At 38.0% G+C, this 26876-nt stretch overlaps 1 protein-coding gene across 24 annotated transcripts in view; it reads right to left on the bottom strand.

Annotated features, from left to right (window-relative positions):
• NRG3 (neuregulin 3) overlaps window positions 1–26876 on the bottom strand; it is a 1111986-nt gene that overhangs the window by 119771 nt on the left and 965339 nt on the right. For 12 of the 24 annotated variants that reach the window (XR_001747009.3, XM_017015573.3, XM_017015577.3 and 9 more), the window contains one exon: window positions 1972–1998. The exons of 1 other annotated variant lie outside the window; for it this stretch is intronic. Coding sequence is in view for 19 of the 23 variants with exons in the window: in XM_017015573.3 (XP_016871062.1) it covers window positions 1972–1998 (27 nt within the window). In the remaining 4 variants the exon portion in view is untranslated. Of the gene's footprint in view, window positions 1–1971; window positions 1999–8184; window positions 8276–26876 lie in introns of all 24 variants that reach the window. 11 more of the 24 variants (NR_163251.1, NR_163252.1, XM_017015575.3 and 8 more) reach the window with 2 other exon arrangements.

The raw sequence follows: 26876 nt of genomic DNA, 5'->3' as shown, positions 1-26876 counted from the left end.
AGTCATGTAATTTAGCTCTAGCTAATAGAACATTAAGCAAAAAGTGATATGAGTTCTTGTAGATCAGTCTTTTAAGCATTGGGTATGCATCAGCTCTGTTCTGTTTCTCAATCTGCTGGCTAGATGCAGTTAACAAAGAAACCTACGTAATATTGAAACCAAAAGATGGAAGAAGCCTGGATCTCTAATTCACTACTTGAATAAAACTAGTCATTTGCTACCTTAAACAGGAAATACATCTACCTTGGACAAGAAAAAGTAGTATCAGGAAATAAATTGCTACCGTCTTTGAGCCATTATAATAACGTGGGCTCTATTTTTTGATGCAGCTGGCATTACCCTTAACTATACTCTTCCTTGTCATCTACTAAATTCCAGTATAGTTTATCATATTAATGGGAAACTTTGGCATATAACCAACATTTTTTTTCTCTCTGTCCCAACCCTAGCATTATCATGAGTAACTGGAATATCCATTAGACAACTTATCCAAAACTATGTCCTCTCAAGTCCTTGACCTCTAGTTTCAAATTATTTCCCCCTCAACCTCAGTTTGGTTATTTACACTCATAGGAATGCTTTGAATATTGTCATCTCCTATAACTCCTCCATCTTCAAAATCAAAATCAACCAATCTGCCATATGACTATAATCTCTTCATCACACCAGCTTGTTCAAGCGCTCTCATGATGACTACTAATTGATTTCATTGAAACGGTCATTCTTCTTTCACTTCCTTCTACAACTATCTCACATTCCATCGCGCTTCATTTGAATAACATCCTAAATCTCATTGGTTTTCTGAGTTTTCATCACATCTATCCAACAAAACCGCAAGCCTGCAGGAATTGAGCTGTCTGCCTTTTCTATGATGTAATAACCAGAGAATGGAGCAATAATGAGTAATACCATACAACTGGGAACACCAATTCCGGTATAAAGACATTTCACAAATTTCTAATTAACTCTCAACACTTCCAACAATACAACCACCAACTTAACGTCTCTCAAATATGTCAAAGCTATCCCAAATCAACACTTTGATAAGTGTTTGCTGAATTAATGGGTGAATGGATAAATTAATACAAGTAAGTATATAATTATTTCACAATAAACATTCATGTATAAAGCAAGTATTCATATCCACATTATACAAGAGAAAAAAATCTGAATTTAATAGAATCCAAAGAAGCAGATGAATTTTGATTCAAATTTAGATCTTCTCAATTTCCCTAACTCTAAATCCTGAGTGTCTTTCCATCCATGTACTACGATGCATATTGAACTTTATGAAATGTTCTTTCTTCATTTAATGTATAACCATCGACTCAGAGAATTAGGTCTAATTTTGAATGCAGTTATCTGTGACTATAAAAACAATGCCCATGGAAGGCATTCTAATGCTTTGAAACATACACCATTCACTGCAAATACTTTAAAGGAAACATTTTAATTTTGTGAATAAAAATGTTTAATAGCCCACACTCCAAACTAAAATTGATACCAAAATGTATCCAAAGGAATCATCTCACAAAAGGAAGGGGACTTAGAAGTAAAAATTTAAAAACTGACATTTAAAAACCATTGCTTTTTATCCTTTATTGAGTGTTTGCCATGTTGCAGACGTTATGCTAAGCAATTTACATGTGCAGGAAAATAGAACCTATTATTATCCCTATTTTACAGATATGAAAATTGAGAATTAGAGGAAATAATCAAAGCCAGGAGCCAAATACAACTTCTGTATGATTCCAGACACTGCATTTAACATTAAATTGCCTTTCCAATAAGTAGTTAATTATTTCATTTTGAGCCATTACTTAGTGAAAACTCGACAAGAGTATTTTTTCCTACTAATAGCATCTGATAATGAGACATTTCAATTATAACCAGATGGAGAAGGAAAGCACTATGTACATCATAAAGCTTAGCATTTCCAGGATATTAAATGAGCAAATTGTTTAGTCTTACCCATGAATTCAATCCCCAAGTGGTCTGCTACACCAAAGTCAGCATGGAAGGAAGGGGAAGAGAAAAAGAGAAAAAGGTTAGAAAAAGCTCTATACATGGAAATCAGTGCTCATAAGACTAACCCTCCAAGGCAAGGCACAGCCTCAATTTTAACCCCTATGTTTGCTTAGAAAAGATACATTACAGATCACCAACAGTAGAGTTACTCTGAACACTGATGAGTATTTCCCCCAAAGCCTCTGAGCTATAGCTTAGATTTTAGATGAACTAATATTGCATACATCATGAAGAATGCTAAGTATAAATTTAGCTAAGAAAGAAAAAGAAAAATTGTTATACCATGAACATCTGGCACTAATATTCTTTTCAGAATGCATAATATTTTATGTGGAATAACTATTTGTTCAACATGAATTTATTTGAACCTCTATAATAAAAATAAAAGTGAATAAGCAAGGAATTTCTGCATGCCAGGCCCTAATCAGGTGTACTTTACCTCCACAAAAAAAGCAATGATGTTGGACTTTTTTCTCTCTCTCTTTCACTTTTTAGATGAGAAAACTGTGCTTCAGTGAGATTAAAACTCTTACATAGGTTACAAAATCTGAGACACTTCCAGGGCACCAATTTGGTTGATCTGACCGTTAAGCCCCATGACTATTCGAATTGACAGCCCATCCTACCAAACACAAATATGTGTGTCCATGTCTGTTCTACGTGCATATAGAATGCAAACCATCCTGACCAGCTAACATCTGCCTGATCAGCAGAGCAATGAACTGTACTGGGCTGGACCCAAGTATTCAACCTCAGATGTTCCTCTATTTAAATGGTTCTTTTTTTAATCATTCAGTTATTCACTCATTCACTTTTAAAATTCATTGCATTAATTAACATTTTTTTCTGTTGCCATAATATTTGTCTGAAGTGAGAATAAGGGAAAAAACTATTGCTACCATTGTAATTGTTTCCAAGACTAATTGCTGAGCTTCCTTTTATGAATTCTTTATTTAGCAAATAAGCTTTTCCTTTTAGAAAACATGCATCTAGTTACCCAGATTTCAATGCCTTTTGTGTTTGTAAATAGGTCATTAAAAAATTTATTTGGAAAAAAATATATATATACATAGTATAAAATTTATCATTAAAACCATGCTTAAGTGCATGACTCAGTGTCATTAATTATTAAGTTGGTGCAAAAGTAATTGTGGTTTTTGCCATTACTTTTGTTAACTTGATACATTCACAACGTTGTACAACCACCACCCCTTTTTTCCAAATTCTTCCATCACCCCAATCAGAAACTCTGTGCCCCCTAATCCATAATTCCTCATTCATCCCTCCTCCCAGCCCTTGGTAACTTCTAATCTACTTTCTATCCTTATCAATTTGCCTTATGAACCGTTCACATTTAATTACATAAAGAAAGATGGTGACAATGTTTCTAAAAAGTAGATGCATTCATTTATTTCCCTGGCATTTCTTGACTGCTTACTCTGTGGTCATCATACACATGGTGATAGATATCAGGCACACTTTCATGTAAAGAAAGGATTCTTGTTCTCAGGTAGCTCAGAAATGAATGAGAGACCATGGAGAAAAAGCTATGGTCATTCTTTGTAATAAGTGCTATAATGGAAAAGCAGAAAATGTGCACTGGATGAAGAGGCCATGGACCCATAAACTTGCTCCTAGGAGGGAGAGAATGTGCAATACAAAGAATAAAGTTTGTACAACCCCATCAAAGAGTGGGCAAAGGATATAAATAGACTTCTCAAAAGAAGACATTTATGCCACCAAAAAACATATGAAAAAAAGCTCATCATCACTGGTCATTAGAGAAATGCAAATCAAAACCACAATGAGATACCATCTCACGCCAGTTAGGATGGCGATCATTAAAAGTCAAGAAACGACAGATGCTGGAGAGGACGTGGAGAAATAGGAACACTTTTACATTGTTGTTGGGAGTGTAATTAGTTCAACCATTGTAGAAGGCAGTGTGGCGATTCCTCAAGGATCTAGAACGAGAAATACCATTTGACCCAGCAATCCCATTACTGGGTATATACCCAAAGGATTATAAATCATTCTGCTATAAAGACACATGCAAATGTATGTTCATTTCATCACTATTTACAATAGCAAAGACTTGGAACCAACCCAAATATCCATCAATGATAGACTGGATAAAGAAAATGTGGCACATATACACCATAGAATACTATGCAGTCATAAAAAAGAATGAGATCATATCCTTTGCAGGGACATAGATGAAACTGGAAGCCATCATTCTCAGCAAACTAACACAGGAAGAGAAAACTGAACACCACATGTTCTCACTCATAAGTGGGAGTTGAACAATGAGAACACATGAACACAGGGAGGCGAACATCACACACTGGGGCCTGTTGGGGGGTAAGGGGCAAAGGGAGGGAGAGCATTAGGACAAATACGTAATGCATGTGGGGCTTAAAACCTACATGACAGGTTGATAGGTGCAGCAAACCACCATGGTACATGTATACCTATGTAACAAACCTGCATGTTCTGCACATGTATCCCAGAACTTAAAGTAAAATAAAATAAAATAAAAATAAAGAAGAATGGAGTTTGTAGAAAATTTGGCAAGACTATTGTCAGTAGCCTTGTTCAGGTCGTTGACTTCTCTGCACAAAAGGTTTTGAGAGCGAATCCCAAGTAAGTGTAGACAAAGAAGTTTATATCAAAGCGAAAGTATTGCAAAGTGAGGTGCAACAAACTTGTTTGTCTACTCTTACTTGGGATTAGCTCTCAAAATCTGAGAGGCAGAGTGGGCTGCTCAAAGACAGAGATAGCCCCTAGGGTCTTGAAGGGAATTTCCTTTACGGAAACTGTACAGACATATTCATAAAATACTGGTGAGGTCAAGTATGTAAAGGTGGATCTGTGGTTAGTACATACACTCAGGATCTACATGCTCTAACACATATCATATGTATCATTAGCATATAAAATCTCCATCTAAGGGGTGTTTTTTGATATTAAAATGAGAAAAATATTACTATAAGCTAAACCTTGAGTCTAGCTATGCCTGTGGGACACTGGAGGAGTCTCTGCCCCTCTCTCAGTGCCCAGCAGGCAGAAATTTGTAGCTAATAGTTTCTTGTGCTTTTGGTGCTGGGGAAGTTACATCAGGAATAACAGACTTTTGTTCTCTTCCCCAAGCCCATACTGAGTATCAGGAACTTGTAACCATCTAACAGTCTGTTGGTATTCGGTAGGACCGCTTATCTTGCAAAAGAGTTAGGTGTTGATGCCTGAGGGTGCAAGGGGAAAGAGCCAGCTATAAAAGTGGCCCACTGAGCTTTACACACAGGACAAGTAAGTATGGGTCCTAACCTTACTTATCCTGCCTCAAGACCATGTTTTCATTCTTATGCAAATAGGAAGCTTCCTGACTGTGGTACCTAGGACATTGGAGAGAGACTAGAGTTGTGACATTTAAAATAAGGATTACCTATCATTACACTAAAAATAATATTTGTGAACAGCTGGGAATAAAAACTAAACTTTTTCATATAGACAGAAGAGGAGGTTGCAGGAAGGAAACCAGGAGAGGCAAGTGTACAGAAATCAGGGAGCAGAGGATCTCAAACAGTGGACCACAGGTGTTCCATGACATGAGAGGGTAATTAGAAAGTCTTTAGATACAGCCTGTTTGAACAAGAACTTTCCGGTGCAGCTGAGATGGCTCAGAATTGGCTGCCTGTCATCTGTTTTGCTGGCAGGTGCAACTCAGGCATGGCTTTCTTCCTTCTTCCATGAACTTCAATGCTCTGCCTCCGGATGTGACAAGGGATATGGAGCATCGGGCTTTGTGAATCTGTAGATTGTGCTAAGAAATGAGTGGCATGTTTGATTAATGGAGGGCCAATCTGAATGTTTTGAAACCTCAATATGTTTATGACCAGTAGCAGAGACAGAAATCAAAATTTGGAAATTATTCAAACACTGAATAGGATAAGTAGGAATCTTCTTAAGGGAAAGAAAAACTGTCCTCTTTTAACATAACAGAAAAGTTATCCAATTATTAGAGTTTTTAACTTTCAGAAATACTCTCAAGGAAGATGGCATTTATATTTTTGTATTTTAATGGGAAATTATTTATTAATTTTTTATAATAGCTTATTCATGGCAACTGACACCACTGGACATACAAATAAAAAGTTAACTCTCATGTAAATTATTTTTCTCTTTCTTTCTCTCTCTCTCACTTTCTTTGTCATGAATACACACACACACACACAGACACACACACATACATGCTTCCATCGTTTTATTAAAATGTTAAACACCGTGATCATTACTGCAGGGTTTAAGACAGGATTTGGTTCATATGGAAGAATTAATGAAAATCCATGAAGAACAGATGACAAAAAAGCAATTAATTTTGTCATTTGAGTCATACACAGATCATAAATCGCACTATTTCTCATAACCCTTCACTGGCTATTTCTCAAAGCAAGCAGTATGCCCAGGGATATTCACGCCTGCAGGAAAACATCAAGCGATACAGGTGAAGATTAATTAATTAATAGTTCATTCATTCACTCAGCAAACTATGTGTCAAGTACTGCACAGATATTAGGGTGGAAGAAGAGGCACATAGTTTAAGCAAAAACAGTTTGATTTTATCTATGACATACATATGTTTGAACATATAACTTCCTTCCTTTTAACACTCCAAAATTTTTATTTGTAAAATTAGCATTTGTTTTGGAACACTCCCACCTTTGGATTATACAGTAGTGGGTAACATTTACTGAGCACTTACTGCGTACCAGGAACTGCTTTAAATATTATCTCACAGCAATTTATAAGATTGTTGTAATGTTCATTTTACTGGTAAGAAACGGAAGCACGGAGAGGGGAACTAACTTTCTCTAAACCAGATTGCCCATAAGTGCTGGGAACATGATGGAGCCTAGGCCGGCTTGGCTCTTAGCTACCAGTTATACTCAAAGTTTACTTACCCCCTTCCTATAAAGAAAAAGCTAATTTTTACAAAATTATCAAGTAATGAGATCTTCAGGGAGGAATTATTTAATCCACTTAAGAGAACAAGTTGCTTTCAAGTATCCTCAGGCAGAGTAGAAGCACCACTTATTTACTTTCTCACCCCTAGTTTATTGATGAAGTGCCAAATATAAGCTAGGTAGCGGGGCAGACAAAGGAAGACAACTGTTATCTGTCTCCGAGGAGACCAACTGGCAAATCATTAATATTTCTTCATTGGTTACCGGGGAAATTTCTTCACAACGAGGCTGGCCTAGTTGAAGTTATTTGCTTGCACATACAGCAAGCAAAATATAAATTGTTGAGTCTGAAAATATGCCCAACATTGAACCAAATGATCTTACAACTAGCAACATACTTAATAAATGCCAGCAGCTCTGCTGCAGAGCTGAAACATTCTTAAGATTTTAGGACTAGGTACCTGTCTAGCAAGACAAAATGAATGTTTTTTTTTAACACCAAAAATTCCTGGAAAACACTTGGAAATTTGAAGCCCACATTTTTTAATTAACAAAAATTCTATAAATTTATGCTGTAAAACCAGATATTTTGGAATACGTATACATTGTGGAATGGCTAAATCAGGTTAATTAACATACGCATTCACATACTTATCTTTATGCGGTGAGAACATTTAAAATGTATTCTGTTAGCAAATACATTGTTATTAACTATAGTTGCCGCATTGTACAATAGTTCCCTTGAACTTTTTCTTCTTATCTAACCACTAACCGAAGTTTAAGGCCTGGGTGTTTCTAACGCATTCACAATTCTCTATGACTGAACAATTCAAAACCTCTTGTTTATATGCTGACAAAAAGGGGCTGCTGACATTCCCCCGAGGTGGGCAGGCTGCAACAGAGCAAGCGAAAACATCGTTGCCTTGATTCCAATCTCAGGATGCCACCTTTAACTTGTCACCCAGCCTATGAACAGGAACTCACTGCAATGCAGCCCTGGGACAAAGCGACACAATGTGGGTTTAAGCATCAGCCCTGTGCTAAAAGTAACGGAGCGAGATGATTCTGATCATACAAGGGTCCCAAGTGTGATCATTTAAACCCTGGTCTATGGGATATGGAAAAGCATGTTCCAGGAAAATATTGATCTGTGTTTTAAAAAGTTAGACTACTGGCCGGGTGCGGTGGATCATACCTGTAATCCCAGCACTTTGGGAGGCCGAGGTAGGCGGATCACGAGGTCAGGAAATTGAGACCATCCTGGTTAACACGGTGAAACCCCGTCTCTACCAAAAGATACAAAAAATTAGCTGGGCGTGGTGGCGGGCGCCTGTAGTCCCAGCTACTCGGGAGGCTGAGGCAGGAGAATGGCATGAACCGGGGAGGCGGAGCTTGCAGTGAGCCGAGATCGTGTCACTGCACTCCAGCCTGGGCGACAGAGCGAGACTCCGTCTCAAAAAAAAAAAAAAAAAAAAAAGTTAGACTACTGCCTTGAAGTTAAATGGGCTTCTCTGCTGCAAGAATCCCCCAATTCCCTCCTAGGTATGTGGAGAGTCCATGGGCAGTAATTCAGTGACAGCGTTTCCAACTTGATGAAAACAGCTGCGTTGTCATGGAGCCCCCAGTGGGACTACCGATATAAGGTACCTGCTCTGGGAAATACTTGCCATAGGAATGTGGAGCAAACCACCCACTCAATTACAAAACATGTCAGTTATAAATGCTTTATCTTAATAACTGAACTGAAATCTGTCACTCTGTAGATTCCACCCACAGATCCCTGTCAAGTAACTTTTTCACTGGTGACACTCCAGGTAGAGGTAGTCCATTGCAACTGAGAAGAGCAAATAGGTTTTGTGAGGAAGGCAAGTTGAGTCTTCCACATTTGCTAACCATAACACCTGAGCTCATCATGCTCTAGTAGTTTCTAAAATCATTGTAAAGAAATATAATTGTCTCAGGTATCAACAGTGGGTCCGTGTGTTCTTGCTCCGAGATAAGAGTATGGACAAGATGCTGAGATGTCCTGTGTTGAGACTTTGCCCTGCATGTCCCAGTTTATTACAGCAAAACAGGCAAGCTAAGAAAGACTGGAGTAGACTTTAAGAGTTCTGATTAGGAGGGGAGAAGGGAATGGGGCTGGCTCTGGCTGTAGTTGCTGAGGGAAGCTGCAGGCTAGAAAACAAAACATGGGATCCACAGAATATATACATTTCAAAAAGTAAAAGGGTCAAAGGACAGCGGAATAGGGTTCAACAAAGGCTTCCAGAGCATAGTGCTGTGTCAACAAGGGACGTGACATTTGATGGTCACTAAGAGAATATGGCAGCAGGAAGGAGTGTGGCAGCCAGATCCAATCTCTTTGGCCTTAAATCCCACAGTGGGAAAGGAGCACAGGGAACTGTCAAGAGTGTGAGCACACTCCTGGTGAGCGAGGCAGAAAAGCTCCTTTCCAGGAGCTGTGTTCAATCCTAGAATGTCTGTCCTAAAAAGAAAGGGATATTATCACTTCATCCTTTTTCAAGCATTTTATCCTTAGTGCAAAATTTAGGATGTTAATTGCAGGGCTGATTCTAAACTTCATGCTCCCTTTATGAAATTACGCTAAGTCACTAAATACATAATTTTATTTTTGTGGGCATGTATATTTAATTTTAGATTTATACATCTTCACAAATAAAAAGTGGAATGTAAAAAATCATATTAATCAAAAGAAATTGATACTTCCCTCAATATCTCTTAGAAGTAATTCCTGCTAATTGTTTTATGTTCTTCCTAGTCTTCCTTCCATATATGTAAAATAAACTAAATGTCAGTTTTACACAAAATCATCCTGTTTTATGTGACTAAATCAGGAGTCTATCTGTGGCCACTGCAGTTCTGTAATCCCAATCTCCCACACCCAACCTCCATCACATCAGAACCGACAGCTTTTTCCACTGTGGAGAGTAGGTCACGACATTATTACCATGGTCAGCCTCACACCAGACAGGCCATCAGTCATGCAGGAGGGAAAACCACTTTTCTAGAAAGCACACAGCCCCAGTCTCCTTTCTCAGGGCTGTGTTACAGAGCATGATCTCTTTATTTTTCTTCCCCAAAACTCCACTGCTGATACCTGAATTTAATAATCTCTTATCATTCTCTAAACAAGAATGTTGATTTGTATCAAAGGATGGGGAGAAGCAGGCAGCCATGGAGACTGCACCCCCATATTGGTATACAGCAAACTCAAGATGAGCACTCTGCTAAGCAAAGTGAAATAGCATGACAAGGTTTCAACTGAGGTTAAGGAGAGATCATTTGCTTAGGCTGCTCCTCAGAGATGGATTTTGACTAAATAATGGGTAGAATTTTGCAGTGCAAACATCTTGGAGCATTAGACTGAAATCTTATTCCATTTTTGCAATTACCGATTAAAGGATTTAATAGGAATTACCATTATAGAGAAGAATTCTTCATTCAGAAAGAAAATACTTCTCTATTGTTTCTGTCACTAGTGATAGTAACTGTGTACAGGTGAATACACTAGAGTTCCTGCTCTTGAGATTCACATGTGTCTCCCAGGATCTTCTCATGTTTTATCAACTTTCTAAAATTCTTGCATTTTGTCACTGGGCACTTCTACACATATCCTTTTCTTTTCTTTTTTTTTTTTTTTTTGTTTTTTTTTTTTGAGACAGAGTCTTGCTCTGTCTCCCAGGCTGGAGTGCAATGGCACAATCTCGGCTCACTGCAGCCTCTGCCTCCCAGGTTTAAGTGATTCTCCTGTCTCAGCCCCCCAAGTAGCTGGGATTACAGGCACGGCCACCATGCCCAGCTAATTTTTGTATTTTTAGTAGAGACAGGGTTTTCCCATGTTGGCCAGGCTGGTCTCAAACTCCTGGCCTTAAGTGATCCGCCCACCTTGGCCTCCCAAAGTGCTGGGATTACAGGCGTGAGCTACTGTGCCCAGCCCACATATCCTTTTATCTAATTTTTAAAATTAGGCTGTAAAGTAGTGCAACTGAGCCCCATTTAACAATTAAAAAAAGAAGCTTCTGTGTAAAACTGAAGGTCATATTTGTAGATTCCTAGATTCCTAGGATGGGAAAAAATCTCAAATCCCAGGACTGAAGGGTAGTTGTTTCTTTTTCTCACTCTTTCATTGCTCCACCCTATCACAGAGTCTGACATTTTGTGGACACTCAATATGTATTTATTGCATGAGTAAAAATGCCATCTGGTTAAGCTCTCAACATGTGACATCTATATGTCTTTCAGAGCATACCCAGGCTGTTCTCTGTCACTTCTGAGTTATTGATGATTCCAAGCAACATGACACCTCTGGTGGCAACTCATTCAATATTGAAAAACGATATCCACAATTGTTTCCAGAAAACTCCCCCAAATCAAAGTACATTCCAATTCTACTCACTTGAATCTACAATTCTGGAATCTAGAAAACACTAGATTATTATCCAACAGGGTCCAACTCATGGCTGTCTTTGTTACGTAATTTTTGTATATAATTTAGGATTCACTTGAGTAAGTGGTCCACTATCAGAAAAAATATTAAATTTTCCATGGTCACTAAAATGCTATCATAGATGCTATTTAAGGGTTTTTCCCCTTAACAACATCAATTTAATCAATCTTTGTAATAGCTGCCACATGTTCTGGGTTTTTTTTTTATTCCTATCTTTTCAGCTTCAATCTACATTAGTATCAATGAAGGCACACAGCTGGACGTGGTGGCTCACACCTGCAATCCTAGCACTTTGGGAGGCTGAGGCAGGCGAATCACTTGAGCTCAGGAGTTTGAGACCTGCCTGGACAACATAACTAAACTCCATTTCTACAAAAAATACGAAAATCAGCCGGGCATGGTGGTGTGTGCTTATAGTCCCAGCTACCAGGAAGGCTGAGGTGGGAGGATGGCTTGAGCCTGGGAAGTCGAGGTTGCAGTGAGCCTAGATAGTGCCACTGCCCTCCAGCCTGGGCAACAGAGTGACACTGTCTCTTTAAAAAAAAGACACACAGACGAGTTTACGGTTAATAGATGGAAGGGTTAGAATAAAATAGGGGAAAGTCTACTCAAGAGAAAGAAATGAAAGAAAAGAAAGAAGGATTACATGGCAAACAGCCATGTGTTTATATATGTGTTTGCAGTTATCATACTAATGATTGAAGCCTTGGTTCATAAATTGTTTTAATACCATGCTTTTATTCACACTTCTGAATTTAAATTGCAATATCATCATGACGAATACCACTTCACAAAATGATGGACATATTTTAAGAAACACTGCTCTGAGCTGCACTCCACTAAAGAAACGCCAAAGACAACTCACCCCCACTTCCCGTCATGGATAACACCTTGTGACATGAAGATACTAGAAGAGGAACCCTCTCCTGCCCATCTGTCTAAGACAGAGGAACCAAACAGAAAGGCTACCCAAAGGATCAAGGTAGAGGATTGTAAGTCCTGGACCAACTGCCCAAGATATTCATCTAGAGCAGCCAAATACTGTAATGTAGTGGATATGGTAGAAAATCTCTTTACTGATGACTTAAGAAAAGAGAAGATCCATGGTGAGAATGTAGTGAAAAGAATTCATTCTAAGAAGGCAAGTTGAGACCCTAACCAGGAGGAGGTACTCTTAGGTTAGGACTCAGGAAATTAGGCAGCAACTGATACCATCAAGAAACTGTGTGAGGTAAGACAAGATGAACTCACATTTTTAAAAAATGATTTTGTTAACTACTCTTCAAGTCAGGCTCATATTTAGTGGCAAGGCACTGTAGCTTCGGAAGTCGGGCTTGTCCATCGTTAAAGCCTGGTTGGCTTTGTTTACTATATTTTGTTTTACACAATGGTGTCTGCTTATGTGAAAAAAAATCATTCTTCAAATGCAGAAGGTATCTGGCATTTTAAAGTTCTTTCATAGGAAATCACTGAAAGATTAAACAACAAAAAATAAAGAACACCCTTTCTCCCCTTTTCCCCAAAACTCCAAGCATTCTGTTCTGCTCACACTCCCCGAAATAGAACCCTGTACACAACACACATCATCTTTTTGTTCCTGCCATTCCATTAGCTTAAATATTTTTCCTGATGAACTCCCAAGTCTTCCTCTAACAAACTCTTCCCATCTTTCAAGGCCTAATTCCTCCAGAAGCTATCCCTGATTTCCTGAAATAATGTTACCTGCTCTACTTTTCTATGAATGATGATGGGATCTCCATTTAGCATGTAGAATTATTATGCCTTGGATTATAACTAGTAGCAATATATCTATATCATAATTAATTAGGTGAACTGTGATTTTCTTCCGCCTCTAGTGCCTTTCCAATAGCATATGGCAAGTGAATGCTTATTGAATCTTTTCACATAATCCCACCAATTTTCTTTCTCATTGTAGGTATACTTTTGGGAAGTATAAACCTCAACAAAACTGGCATAGAAGAGACATACCTCGAAGTCATAAAAGCCATCTATGGCAAACCTACAGCCAGCTTCATACTGAATGGGGAAAAGTTGAAAGCATTCCCCCTGAGAGCTGGAACAAGACAAGGATGCCCACTCTCACCACTTCTATTCAGTAAAATATGGGAAGTCCTAACCAGAGCAATCAGACAAGAGAAAGAAATAAAGGGCACCCACATTAGCAAAGAGGAAGTAAAACTGTTGTTTGCCAATAATATGATTGTATACCTAGAAAACCCTAAAAATGCATCCAAAAAATGCCTAGAACTGATAAATGAATCTAGCAAAGTTTCAGGATACAAAATTAATGTACACAAATCAGTAGCACTGCTCTACACCAACAGCAATCAAGCTGACAATCAAATAAAAAACTCAACCCCTTTTACAAGAGCCACAAAAAAATACAAATAAAAAAATACTTAGGAATATACCTAACCAAGGAGATGAAAGACCTCTACAAGGAAAACTACAAAACACTGCTGAAAGAAATCATAGATGACACAAACAAATGGAAACACATCCCATGCTCATGGATGGGTAGAATCAATATTGTGAAAATGACCATGCTGCCAAAAGCAATCTACAAATTCAATGCAATTCCCATCACAATATCACCATCATTCTTCACAGAACTAGAAAAAACAATCCTAAAATTCATATGAAACCAAAAAAGAGCCCACATAGCCAAAGCAAGACTAAGCAAAAACTTTATACTAATTTCTACTAATGCTTTCATTCAGGCCATCTTTGGCGCCATAATTTTCCAGATTTTCTGGGCATTTCCAAAAGATGTCCATTAAAATACACACATACACACACTCCATATTTGGAATTATATAATTTATTGCTCATTGAATTGCAAATCACCTACAGTGGGTTGGAGGAAGGTAAAATCCTGCCTTACCCTATTCTAACACCTCAGTCAAACCAGGCCATCATGCAAGTGACTACACCAATAAAAAGATTTTTTAAATGTCTTCTTTTAAAAAGAAAAAAATCAGGAAGGGTTGACTGCAATGGAGGAAACTATTGTCTAATAATTAGTTGGGAACTCAGTTGAATCCAGGTATTTTAAAGTCTTACCCTCATGCTCCCACTACCTTCTCCTCTAGTCTTGGTAACTTTCTATATGTATTTTCAAGATATTTGACTGGAAATAATTACTCCACTCGGCACCCCGTTAGTGTGATAACCTTTTCGATGTGGTCTGCAGATGTCAGAAGCTACGTATGGATGAATTTAGAAATTTCTAATTTTACATCACTTAGCCATTACCAAGGCAAACGAATAGAATCCACATCCTTCCTTGAAACTACCGTCTACGTATTATAGGTTTGGGAATCTGAATGACATCCTCCTCCCTCATCCTCATAGCATCCTTGCTAGTGATGGTATTTTATAGATGAGAAAACTGAGTTTCAGAGAGGTGAGCTAATTTTCTTTCTTTTTTTTTAATAGCTGTATTTTATTTTACTATTATTAGTTTTTAATTTTTACTGTAAGTTCTGGGATACATGTGCTGAATGTGCAAGCTTGTTACATAGGTTTACATGTGCCATGGCGGTTTGCTGCACCTGTCAACCTGCCATCTAGGTTTTAAGCCCCGTGTGCATTAGGTATTTGTCCTACTGTTCTCCCTCTCCTTTCCCCCTACGCCCCTGACAGGCCCCGGTGTGTGATGTTCCCCTTCCTGTGTCCATGTGTTCTCATTGTTCGACTCCCACTTACGAGTGCTAATTTTCTTAAGATACGAAGTATCTTACTTTGTTAAAGCACGCAGACTTCACCCACAGAAAACAGTCCACCTTGTTTAGTGTTCCCTGTCGATCAGTGTTGCTGCAGCCCTATCCTGCTTCTCCAGTGCTATCCCCACATTCCCTTTCCAATTCCAAAGTCCCGCCTTGCTCATATGCAGTCTGGTAAGCTTCATTTTTATCAACTCACTTCAAGTAAAACCAATGTTGGAATGCATATCTTTCCCTACAGAGGGTCACTACTACAAATGGTCTTTTGTGGAATGTTTTATATCTACATACTCTGAGTCTCATCACACTCCACTCTAATTATTATAGTCATTAGTTTGCTTGCCCATCTTCTCCAAGTGACAGTACGCAATTTAATTAAATGATTTGCTTAATTTTTCTTTATATCATAAATTTCAGGACAATTCCTGGCACAGATCAAGCATATGAACAAATTCAAAAAGAAAAAAACTATATAGCTTCATGGACTTTCGAACTTTTGTTCAAGGTGATCTCTCTTATTTGTAGTTCCTTCTCTCCTGTATGTCTTCTTCCATTGCCTTAGGGAAGGGAGATCTTGGCAATAAAAAGAGAGAGAGAAAAATATTTGAGGTTATCCAATCCTTAGCTCAGAAGAAATAAAGGTACAGAATAACAGATTTCATGGTATAGACAAAGGACCAGATGCCCTCTGCAGATTAATACACTAAAGATTTTCTAGGTGAAGGTAACAAATGGAAAAAAATCCAAAATGTCTGGGAGAAGACCTTCAGCAATAAATATGCATGCTGCTGCTGCTGAGCCATGCATTTCTTTCCCTGCCTCCTGCTCCAATGAGAAGAAAATAAGACAAGGATCGTCAATACCACAGAGAATCTGCCCAACCCCCAAGCTCCGTGTCCTCCAAGAGCACCAATGCTTAGGCCCTGTGTAAGTCATGCCTCTTCCCAAAGTTTGATGCAAATCCCAGGAAGCTGGAATTAGATAAACGAAATGTGTTTACACTTTTCTCTAAGCCAGTGAAATGTAACTTTAAATAGAAAATTAGGAAATTTAAATAATAAAAAATAATAATACAGCTTAAGTTTTTAAGGCTTAATCAAGGCAGTCACTCTATTTACTTTACATGACTTAACTCACTGAAAACCTACAGCAATATTATAAAGTCGGTTCTATTTTTATTCCCATTTTAGAGATGCAGCTGAAGCATGGGTTAACAAATTTCCTCAACTTGTAAAAAAAGTGCTGGGATTCAAACTCAGGTGATAGGTTTCAAGTATTTACCCTTTAAATTCAGTATGTCTATGGCCAGTTATCACACATCCACCCCACATTTTGTAGACTGAGATTTGTTCCTGCTGCAAAATTAAGAAGCTATTTAATTAACTTACTATATTTCAAAATTAGATACAATCTCACTGAACTCAAAGTCATGTTATCTTTACATTTTACTTTATTTTAAACTTCTGTGTTTTTAAATTTCTTTTTTTTTTTTGCTCTTAAAAAATTTGGAGTCTAAAATAAGGTAATTTGTATGGCAACTAAACAAAATATTTAAACAGCTAGATGCAAATAATTTTTCAACCAATTTTTGAGCTTTCATGCTGTTAAGCACTTCCTATTGGATCATTCTTGCTACCAGCATTTGATATTTTATTTGGTGTCAATTCAGTTTGAATTTTTGTTTTAAGTAATTTTTCTTTTTTCAGGTTGACAGATGGATGGTGAATCCAAGATGAGTTCAAAGCTGTAGGAGATTTAAATAAAACCTTTCCCCCGTTGTTCAAATTGAGCTTTCACTAGAGGAAACGAAATTCATTTGCTCATTGCAGGGACCAAAATGTGAGAGCAGCACGCTGGGGACCAGAAATGTCAATCAAAGACATGAGTGGGAGGAGTGAATCTTGTAATGGTTGATAACCTCATCGCTCTGGATGACTGCATGGCTACAGCAAGCCAAATTCTCTTCTGCACCAACTTCCTTCCAGTGCTAATATTCAATGTCCCCTCTAAGGTGCTTCTCCTAAGTGGAAACTCCTTGAAGCATCCTCTAGAAAACTTGTCTCCATTCCTCTGTCAAGCATTTCCTTGTATATGCAATGCTTTGTCTAACTGTTCACGTAGCCCCTTCTGTCTTCTACCAACCAACAAGCTGGTTCAAGCCAACCACTTCTCTCACCTGGATGGTTTTACTACAGAAGGCTTCTCCCTGATTTATCTGCTTCCACCTTTGCTCCCTACCTATGTTATCTTTCCACACAGCCCAGAGAGATCCCTTTAAAACTTAAATCAGATCACACTATCCCTTTGCTTTGAACATCCCTCCCATGGCATCTCTGGAATAGAAGCCAAAGTCACCATCAGAATCTAAAATGGACCTATACAATCTATGTGGTCTTCTCTGACCACACTCCTCCTACCTTTCCCCTCTCCCTTACTCCATCCAATTCAGCCACATTAACCTCTTAGCAGTTCTTCTAACCAAAATACATTCTTCTTCCTCAGAGCCATGGGCTGGCTGCTGCATCTGCCTATAATGCTCTTCTTTCAGACATTTACAAAGCTCAATCTCTCACCTTCTTTCACTCCTGATGGCATCTTATCAGAGGTCACATCATATAAAGCAGCACTTCCTATCCTCCTCACCCTACTTTTCTTTACTCCTAACAATTTACCACCATATAAAGAATAACCATGTCTCTCTGGTAATTTTCTATTTCCTTTTCTGCTCCACACTAGAATGTAAAGCTCTGTGAGGCAGGGGCTTCACTGTGTGTTAGTTATCTAGGGCTTCCATAACAAAGCACCAGAAAGTAGAGGGCTTAAAGAGAAGTAACGTATCCTCTCTCAGTTCTGGAAGGTGGAAGTCTGAAATCAAGGTGTCAGCAGTGTTTGTTCCATCTCAGGATTGTGAGGCAGAATCTGTCCTATGTCACTCTCCTAGCTTCTGATGGTTCACTGGCAATCTTTGCTGTTTCTTGGCTTGTAGAAGCATTGCCCCAATCTCTCCCTTCATCTTTACATGGTGTTCTCCCTATGTGCATGTCTGTGTCCAAATTTCCCCTTTTGATAAGGATATCAGTTATATTCGATTAGCGCCCATGCTAAAGACCCCATTGTAACTTGATTACCTGTTTAAAGACCTCCATCTCCAAATAAGGTAATTGGAGTTACTGGTATTAGGACTTGTATTAGCCCATTCTCATACTGCTAATAAAGATATAACTGAGACTGGGTAATTTATAAAGAAAAAGAGGTTTAATGGACTCACAGTTCCACATGGCTGGGAAGGCCTCACAATCATGGCAGAAGGCAAAGAAGGAACAAAGGCACATCTTACATGGCGGCAGGCAAGAGAACATGTGCAGGGGAACCACCCTTTATAAAACCCTCAGATCTCGTGAGACTTATTCACTATCATGAGAACAGCATGGGAAAACCCACCCCCGTGATTCAATTGTCTCCCACTGGGTCCCTCCCACCATGATATGTGGGGATTATGGGAACTACGGTTCAAGATGAAATTTGGGTGGGGAGACAGCCAAATCATATCATTCTGCCTACCACCCTTCCCAAATCTCATGTCCTCATAATTCATAACACAATCATGCCCTTCTGACAGTCTCCCAAAGTCTTTACTCATTTCAGCCTTAACTCAAAAGTCCACAGTCCAAAGTCCGATGTGAGACAAGGCAAGTACCTTCCACCTATGAGCCTGTAAAATCAAAGCAAGTTAGTTACTTCCTAGATACAATGTGGGTAAAGGCATTGGGTAAATACACCCATTCCAAATTGGAGAAATTGACCAAAATGAAGGGACTACAGGCCCCATGCAAGTCTGAAATCCAGCAGGGCAGTCAAATCATAAAGCTCCAAAATGATCTCATTTGAATCCATGTCCTCACATCTGGGTTACCTTGATGCAAGAGTTGGATTCCTATAGTCTTGGGCAGGACATAACATATACATCTTTAGAAGACAAAATTTAAGCCACAAGGACGTGTTTGTGTTGTTTTATTCATTGTATCTATGACATCCAACACAATGTCAGATATAAAGTAGGTGCTCAACAAATATTTTTTAGTGACTCAATGAAATTCATCATATTGAAGTGCAGCAAAGGCCAATTTATCCATTCATGCATTTCCAGCTCCCTGTGAGCTTTGTGTCAAACTCATGACTCTAATACAAACTACTCCTTTTACTGTCATGCTTTTTTCTCTGCATATATGTTTCTCTGATATCTCGCAATAAAATCAAATTTTAATTACTTATTTAAAGTTAGCAAATATTTACTCAATGCCTACTCTATAACATGCTCTGTGAACCTTGTGAGGATATTAGAATAAATAAAATTTTAAAATCTTGTCGAATTCTGTGAGCTTAAAATACAATTTCTTAATCCACATTTAGCCAGCATCTCAAGGTTTCTACTGATACAACCCTGGACTACGCACTGGGAATGCAAAAGTGTTGAAGACATGGTCGGTGCCCTAAATAAATTTTCAGTCTCAGGTGAGGAAATGTAGTCTCCACCATCAAAATACATCTGACTGAAGTATTCATGATATACACATTTTTCTGAAAATTACCATCTGAAAATATTTGGCTTGGTGGTACCTAAAGGAATGTGATATAGTGGGAAAAGATATTCGCATTTAATTATATGGGCTTTCATACCAGACTGTACCTTTCAGTAACCATGTTTGACCTTAGATAAGTTACTTAACATTTCTATGTTTCAGTTCCTCATCTATTGAAGAAATGAAATGCATGTAATTTGTAAAACAATTAAATTAGATAATATATCTAATTTGGTAGACATTGCTATTTGCCTACTTGATATCTACTCGCCACTGTACCACATCTATTCAAAGTGTCAACGTAGCCAACTAAAATCCTGAATTTTGCAGCCTTCTTTGTACCATGTAGGGTGGTCATGTGACACAGTGCTGTTTTATAAGACTGGAGCAGATAATTTCCAAATGGGGCTTTCAGAAAAGCTCTTTCTAAAGACAGATTTAATTGCCACATGCCATTTGCTGGGTGCCCTCTTTCTTCAGCCTGGAGGCTGGACAGAGCAGCCTTCCTGCAATTCGAAGGCAGCTGCATGAGTTTGGAAAACCACATGCTACGATGGTAGATGAGAAGAACTTAAGGAACTGGATCTCTGATGAGTCTGCAGTGCTGTAACAGCCCCAGACTCCTACACCTCTGTACTTCCCACAACTTCAGAAAAACAAAACCCACAATTTACTCAAACCATGGTTTAATTGAGTTTTCTGGCTCTTGCAGCTGAACATTATCTTAATTGATAAAAGCACAAGCACAATCTCGCTCATAGTAGGTGCGTATTTTGTATATTCTATGTGGTTCTGTTTGCACCACAACTCCAAAACCAAACTACTGCAGAATTTATGTAATGAGAACTTCAGATTTATATCGTTTATAAGTGGATATCCTTTTCTTAGAAATGAAGTATTTAGAAGTTATTATACCCCATTATATGCAATGCTTACAATTATGTATTTGTTTTATTATCTTCATATTGTACACACACACCGTCTTGACATTACTCTCAAAATCTTCCATTTGTGCTGATTGTTCTGCTTTTTCAAGCAGAGAATCTTCTACCTTTGAATTTTTGGCAGTCCTTCATAAATGAACATTAAACAGCTTTCTTCTTTGAATTCTATTTGATACTGAAAAATAATAATCATTCAGGGATCCCTTAAAGTAAGCTCTATTTGTTTCATAAAAATGCATTTTTTTAAAATGTATTTTAATAAATCTGTGGAGAGCATAATCATCATCTGCTATTATAATTCCCCAAATTTCAGAATGCTGAAATTAAATATCCTCTAAGCATTGCAGGTTGTCTTATCTTCTCTTCCAGGGAGGCTTCAAGTCTCTTTTCTTCTGAATCTTGTGCCAAGCTTGTTTGCTATCTCTTTTTCTCTCGTAGCCAAAATCCACTGGTTAGAAAAAAGCCTCGTGAGTGTTCTGCTTGATACAGAGTATTCATTCAGAGTATAGTGGTATCTGCTGCATAGCTAAAAACATGATTTTCAGTTCTCTAAGTTGTCCTGAGTCTATAATCCCACCCATGAAACAGGATGAAAATACTAGGAGGACATTCATCTCTCCGGGGGTAATGTTGAAGTATAGTTCAACCAGACAGTGTTTCTCAACTATAGACTGTTGACAATCTGTATCAGAATCAGCTACAGTGCATGATAAAAATGCAAATTCTATGAGCTGTATGTTTAATAAATTCCCAGGGTTAATCTTATGCACTTTAAGTTTGAGGTCTACTCACTTCTCAGTGTGCTATATGTGTGTATGTATTTATGGTAGCTTTAAGTTTAGGTTGCATTAATATTCCTTCTTAGTACTTTTTGTGATTCGATTTCACAGAAATATTCAAGGTAGATAAAATATCCACTGTGTTGTATCTTTTCATTTTATTCATTTTTTCCTTTTGTTAAAATATTTATACTCTTCCATATCTACTTTTCTCCCTCATATATTGCAAAGGTTTGAGACAAATGTTGCATTGACTTATTTTCTGTTTGTTTTTTTTCCTTTTTATTTTCTATTTCCAGTTTATCCATTTCCCACAACTTCTGTCTTTCTCCTATAAAGATTTTTAACATCTACACCCTTTTTTTTTTGCCTGCCCAGGCATGTTTTTAATCCCCTTGTGCCTTACACGTATAAGCACACATTGGCGTTTTCCTTCCAGTATCACAACTTATTTTGTAGATCACCAATTCCTCATTTTCAATAATGACATAAGTGTAAAAAAGGAAATCATCTGGCCTCTTCAGGAAGGGCTTATTGAGTAGGGATAACATCAGTGGTTATGACAGTAAGAGCAATGATGCAGCTTCGTCAACTTTATTCCCAGGTATGAAAGGAAAAAAGATAGTTAATGTGTATTGATCATTCAGTAAGCCAAGTCCTGTATGAGGCACCACTACTGGCATGTATAGAAGTCAAAACAAGCATGTAATACTTGAAGCCCTTTATTTTTTATTTTCTATTTGTTTTTGAGATGCAGTCTCGCTTTATCGCCCAGGCTGGAGTGCAGTGGTGTGATCTCAGCTCACTGCAACCTCTGCGTCCCGGGTTCAAGAGTTCCTCCTGCCTCAGCCTCCCAGGTAGCTGGGATTACAGGTGCACAACACCATGCCTGGAAAACTTTTGTATTTTTAGTAGAAACGGGGTTTCACCATGTTGACCAGGCTGGTCTCAAGCTCCTGACCTCAAGTGATCCGCCGGCCTCAGCCTCCCAAAGTGTTGGGATTACAGGCGTGAGCAACCACTCCTGGCCTGTGAAGCCCTTTAAATTTCCAACCTATTTTTTTGAAATTTGAGAAATAGAAGCAAAGACTTTTTTTTTAATACTCATTTAATTAATCCTTTGTTGTTCCTTTGAGGAAAGCATTATTTTATTTTGCAAACACTGTCTTCATCAGTCTTTTAGTTATTCTAACACAAATACAGCTTCTTATTTGGAAAAAAAAAAAAAAAAGATTGTAGAGGCGTTTTGGATCCTAGGAGATTAACTATTTTGTACTATCCTGTAAAATGTTGTTAAGTTGTAGACAGACTTGCATCCCGAGAGATTGTTTCTCCATTTTTATATAAGAATGTTGAATCTCAATAAGGGTAAGTAAATTGTCCAAGATCATATAACTAGTAAGTAATATCTCAAACTTGAACTCCAGTTTGGGATTCAAGATACATACTGCAACTATCAGAGATTTTAAATTGCATCAGTGATAACAAGGGCAGGACTCAAAACCAGTTTTGGCATCCGGGGTTAGCCCTTTCCCCAGCACTGCACTCTGACTCCCAACATCTTCTGTATATTTGGATTAATAGAGAGTGCAGCAGTATTGTATCAATAAGGACTAAATACAGAGTCCATCATTGTGCATAATGGGATTTAATTAGAAAGAGACACTTAAGGAAATGTTTTTGAAACAAATAAACGAGGCCCATAAAAGGAGTCACTCACCAGAACATATTAGCTAGCTAGCTTTCTTTTATAATTTCTGCCATTGTCTGTGATTTATTTTTCTTTGCTAATATGCAGGAATTTCATTTAAATTCCCAGCTATTTATGGCATTCATAGTCTTAGTTAATTTATTTGTGTTCTTATATATATTTATATATAGATCTATTTAACTATGACAAATGATATGTTGGAGGTTTCAATTATAATTATGTTTGCAACAAACTCTTATAAATCTAATATGTTTTGCCATATATACTTAGTTGCTATGTAGATAGGTTTATATTGGTTAACGGCTGGATATCATCTTGATAAATTGTGCTTTTATCATTACTTAATGTCTCATTTTATCCTGATTCATCCCATTAACCTTCCCTTGCATCTCGCTGCTCATTAATATTGCTACTTTTTAACTTTATGTTTTCCAATTTTTTTAAATGCATTTGATTAGTATCCCTTCTCCCTTCCCTTCATTTTCCATCTTATCATTGAAGGGTGTTTCTTTTAAACAGTAGATAGCTGTGCTTTGCTGTGCTCACCTAACATCTGTCTTTAGATGAGAGAATTCAGTTGTTTGTATTTATTTTAATAACTAATATGCTTAAGCTTATTCCTTCAGAATTCCTTGTATTTATTATTGATTTTATGTTGGCATTTTCCTTTTTCATTACTGTATTAGTCTGTTTTGTACTGCTAAAACAGCATACCGCAGACTGTGTAATTTACGATGAATAGAAATATATTGGCTCTCATTTCTGGAGACTGGAAAGTCTAGGATTGGGGGCTGGCCAATATCTGATAAGGGCCTTCCTGCTCATCAGTCCATGATGGAAGGAAGGGCAGAGAGGATCAGAGAGAGCAAAGGGAGCTAAATTGTCCTTTGAGAATGACACCCGTCCCACCCATAAGGTGGGTGTAACCCTCATGACATAATTCCTCTTAAATGTCCCACTTCGTAATACTGTTATAATGACAAATTTCCACATGAGTTGTGGAGGGGACAAACATTCAAATCATAGCAATTACTAATGCAATAAGCATGTTTCAGAGTCTAATACAGTAGTCCCCCATCTTCTCCACAAATATACCTTCTGTGACTTCAGTTATCTATAGTCAATTATGGTCCAAAAATATTATAGTATTTTGAGAGAGATAGATCATCTTCACATAGTGTCTAGTACAGTATATTGTTATAATTATTCTATCTTATCATAAGTTATTGTTGTTAATCTCTTACTGTGCCTAATTTATAAATTAACTTTATCATAGGTGTGCATGTATAAAAGAAAATATAGTTTTAGCCAGGTGTGGTGGCTTGCGCCTGTAGTCCCAGCTACGCCACAGGCTGAGGCAGGAGGATCACTTGAGGCCAGAAGTTTGAGGCAGCAGCGACATATAATACCACCACTACAACTCTGGTATGGGTGACAGATTGAGATGCTGTATCTAAGAAAATAATTAAAAAATAAAAACATGGGATTCAGTAATATCCATGGTTTCAGGCGTTCTCTGTGGCCTTGGAACATGTCCCTCATGAATTAGCAGGAACTACTGTATGAGCTATTCTAGATGCTTGGATTATAACATTGAACAAAGCAGAAAAGCCCTACACAGCAAAGACAGGGTTATGATGTATCTATCAAAACATTTCATTTCCCTCTCAGGCACACAGGAAGACTATATTTACCAGATGCCCTTGCAGGTAAGCAGAGCCAAGTTTCTGAGTTCTGACCAATGTAAGAAAAAAGATATATTCTAGTTCCTGGGCTAGATGATGCAGCTTCATCAACTTTATTCCCAGATATGAAAGGAAAAAAGAGAGTTAATGTGTATTGATCATTCGGTAAGCCAAGTTCTGTATGAGGCATCACTACTGGCATGTATACAAGTCAAAACAAGCATATAACACTTGAAGCCCTTTATTTTTTAATTGTTAGACTCAGTCTCGCTTTGTTGCCCAGGCTGGAGTGCAGTGGTGTGATCTCAGCCCACTGCAACATCTGTGTCCCAGGTTCAAGTGTTCCTCCTGCCTCAACCTCCCAAGTAGCTGGGATTACAGGCGCACACCACCACGCCTGGAAAATTTTTGTATTTTTAGTAGAAATGGGGTTTCGCCATGTTGACCAGGCTGGTCTCAAACTCCTGACCTCAAGTGATTTTTAAAATTATCCTGCAGCCCTAGAGGGATGAGCTGCGAGATGGGTTCTGTATTTCTAAATTCATTCCCAATTTTTTCTGTGGCTATATGGAGGCCAGAATTCCTCTCCATCCACACCAATAGACACAATATTTGGCCATGATGAGAGAAAGAAATAAACTTTTGTTGGGTCAAGTAGCAAAAATGTTGATTTACTTTTTCATATGTGATGCTTACCTTTATATGTCAACTTCACTAGGCTATAGTACCCAGTTATTTAACCAAACACTAATTCAGATGTTGCTGTGACAGAATTTTGGAGATATGGTTAACATCTACAATTGGTTGACTTTAAGTAAGAGAAGTTCACCCTCAATAGTTTGTGAGGGCCTCATCCTACAATTAGCTAAAGGCCTGAAGAGCAAAACTGAAGTTTTTCTGGAAAAAGAAATTCTGCCTCAAGGATACAGTACCAACTCCTGCCTGAATTTCCAGTCAGCTGGCCTGCCCTACAGATCTCAGACTAAATAGACCCCATAATCATGTAAGCCAACTCCCTAAAATAAATCTCTTCATATAGGATATGATTATATAATGTGATTATAGTATAATGTAGATCAGTATACTAATTAATCATCACTATTCATATTTCTTCTGTTTCTCTAGAGAACGCTGATACGCATTTTGGTACAAGGAGTGGGGTATTAATTTCCCAGGGCAGGTGTAATGAATTACTATAAACCAAATGGCTTAAAACAACAGAATTTCATTCTTTGACAATTCTAGAGGCTAGAAGTCCTAAATCAAGGGGTTAGCAGGGCCATACTCCTTCCAATGGCTGTAGGAAAGAATCCTTCCTTGCCTCTTCCAGTTTCTGGCTATTGGCAGCAATCCTTTGTGTTCCTGGGCTTTTGGCAGCATAACTCCAGTCCATGCCTCAGTCATCCCATGAACTTCTTCTCTGTGTGTCCTCCATCTTCAAGTTTCTCTCTCTTTATGAAGATATCAGGCATTGGATTCAGGGCCCAATTAATCCTGTATGATCCCACCTTAACTTGGTTACATCTGCAGACTATTTTCAAGTAATATTACATTACGATACAGGTACTAGGGCTTAAGACTTTAGTATGTCTTTTTAGGGGATACAGGATTCAACCCACAACATCACAGCAATTAGAATACTCTGATTAATACAGAAAAAAAAAGACACGAGGCAGAAGTGATAAACTCTAATTCCAGGCTTTCTCTTGAATACAGTACTTTTAAGTAATTTTCAACCCTCTCCATTTTAAGCTGACTGGAGGTAGAGAATCCAACAGAGGGTGCTCTGTTCCCTATGTGGAACAGAGTGCCTGCGATGACACAAGAGAAAAATAAACCCTTGTTCTTTTAATGCACTGAGATTTGAGGTTTGCTTTCTTATAGCAGTTACGATATTCTCTTTAATAACTTTGACTTTGTCAACTTATCCATCCTAATTGGGCAAAATAGAATGTAAGATAAATAAGCAAATTA

This window comes from Homo sapiens, chromosome 10, assembly GCF_000001405.40.
Source record: "Homo sapiens chromosome 10, GRCh38.p14 Primary Assembly".
Classification (NCBI taxonomy): Eukaryota; Metazoa; Chordata; class Mammalia; order Primates; family Hominidae; genus Homo; species Homo sapiens.
This window is presented reverse-complemented; position numbering and strand designations above follow the sequence as displayed.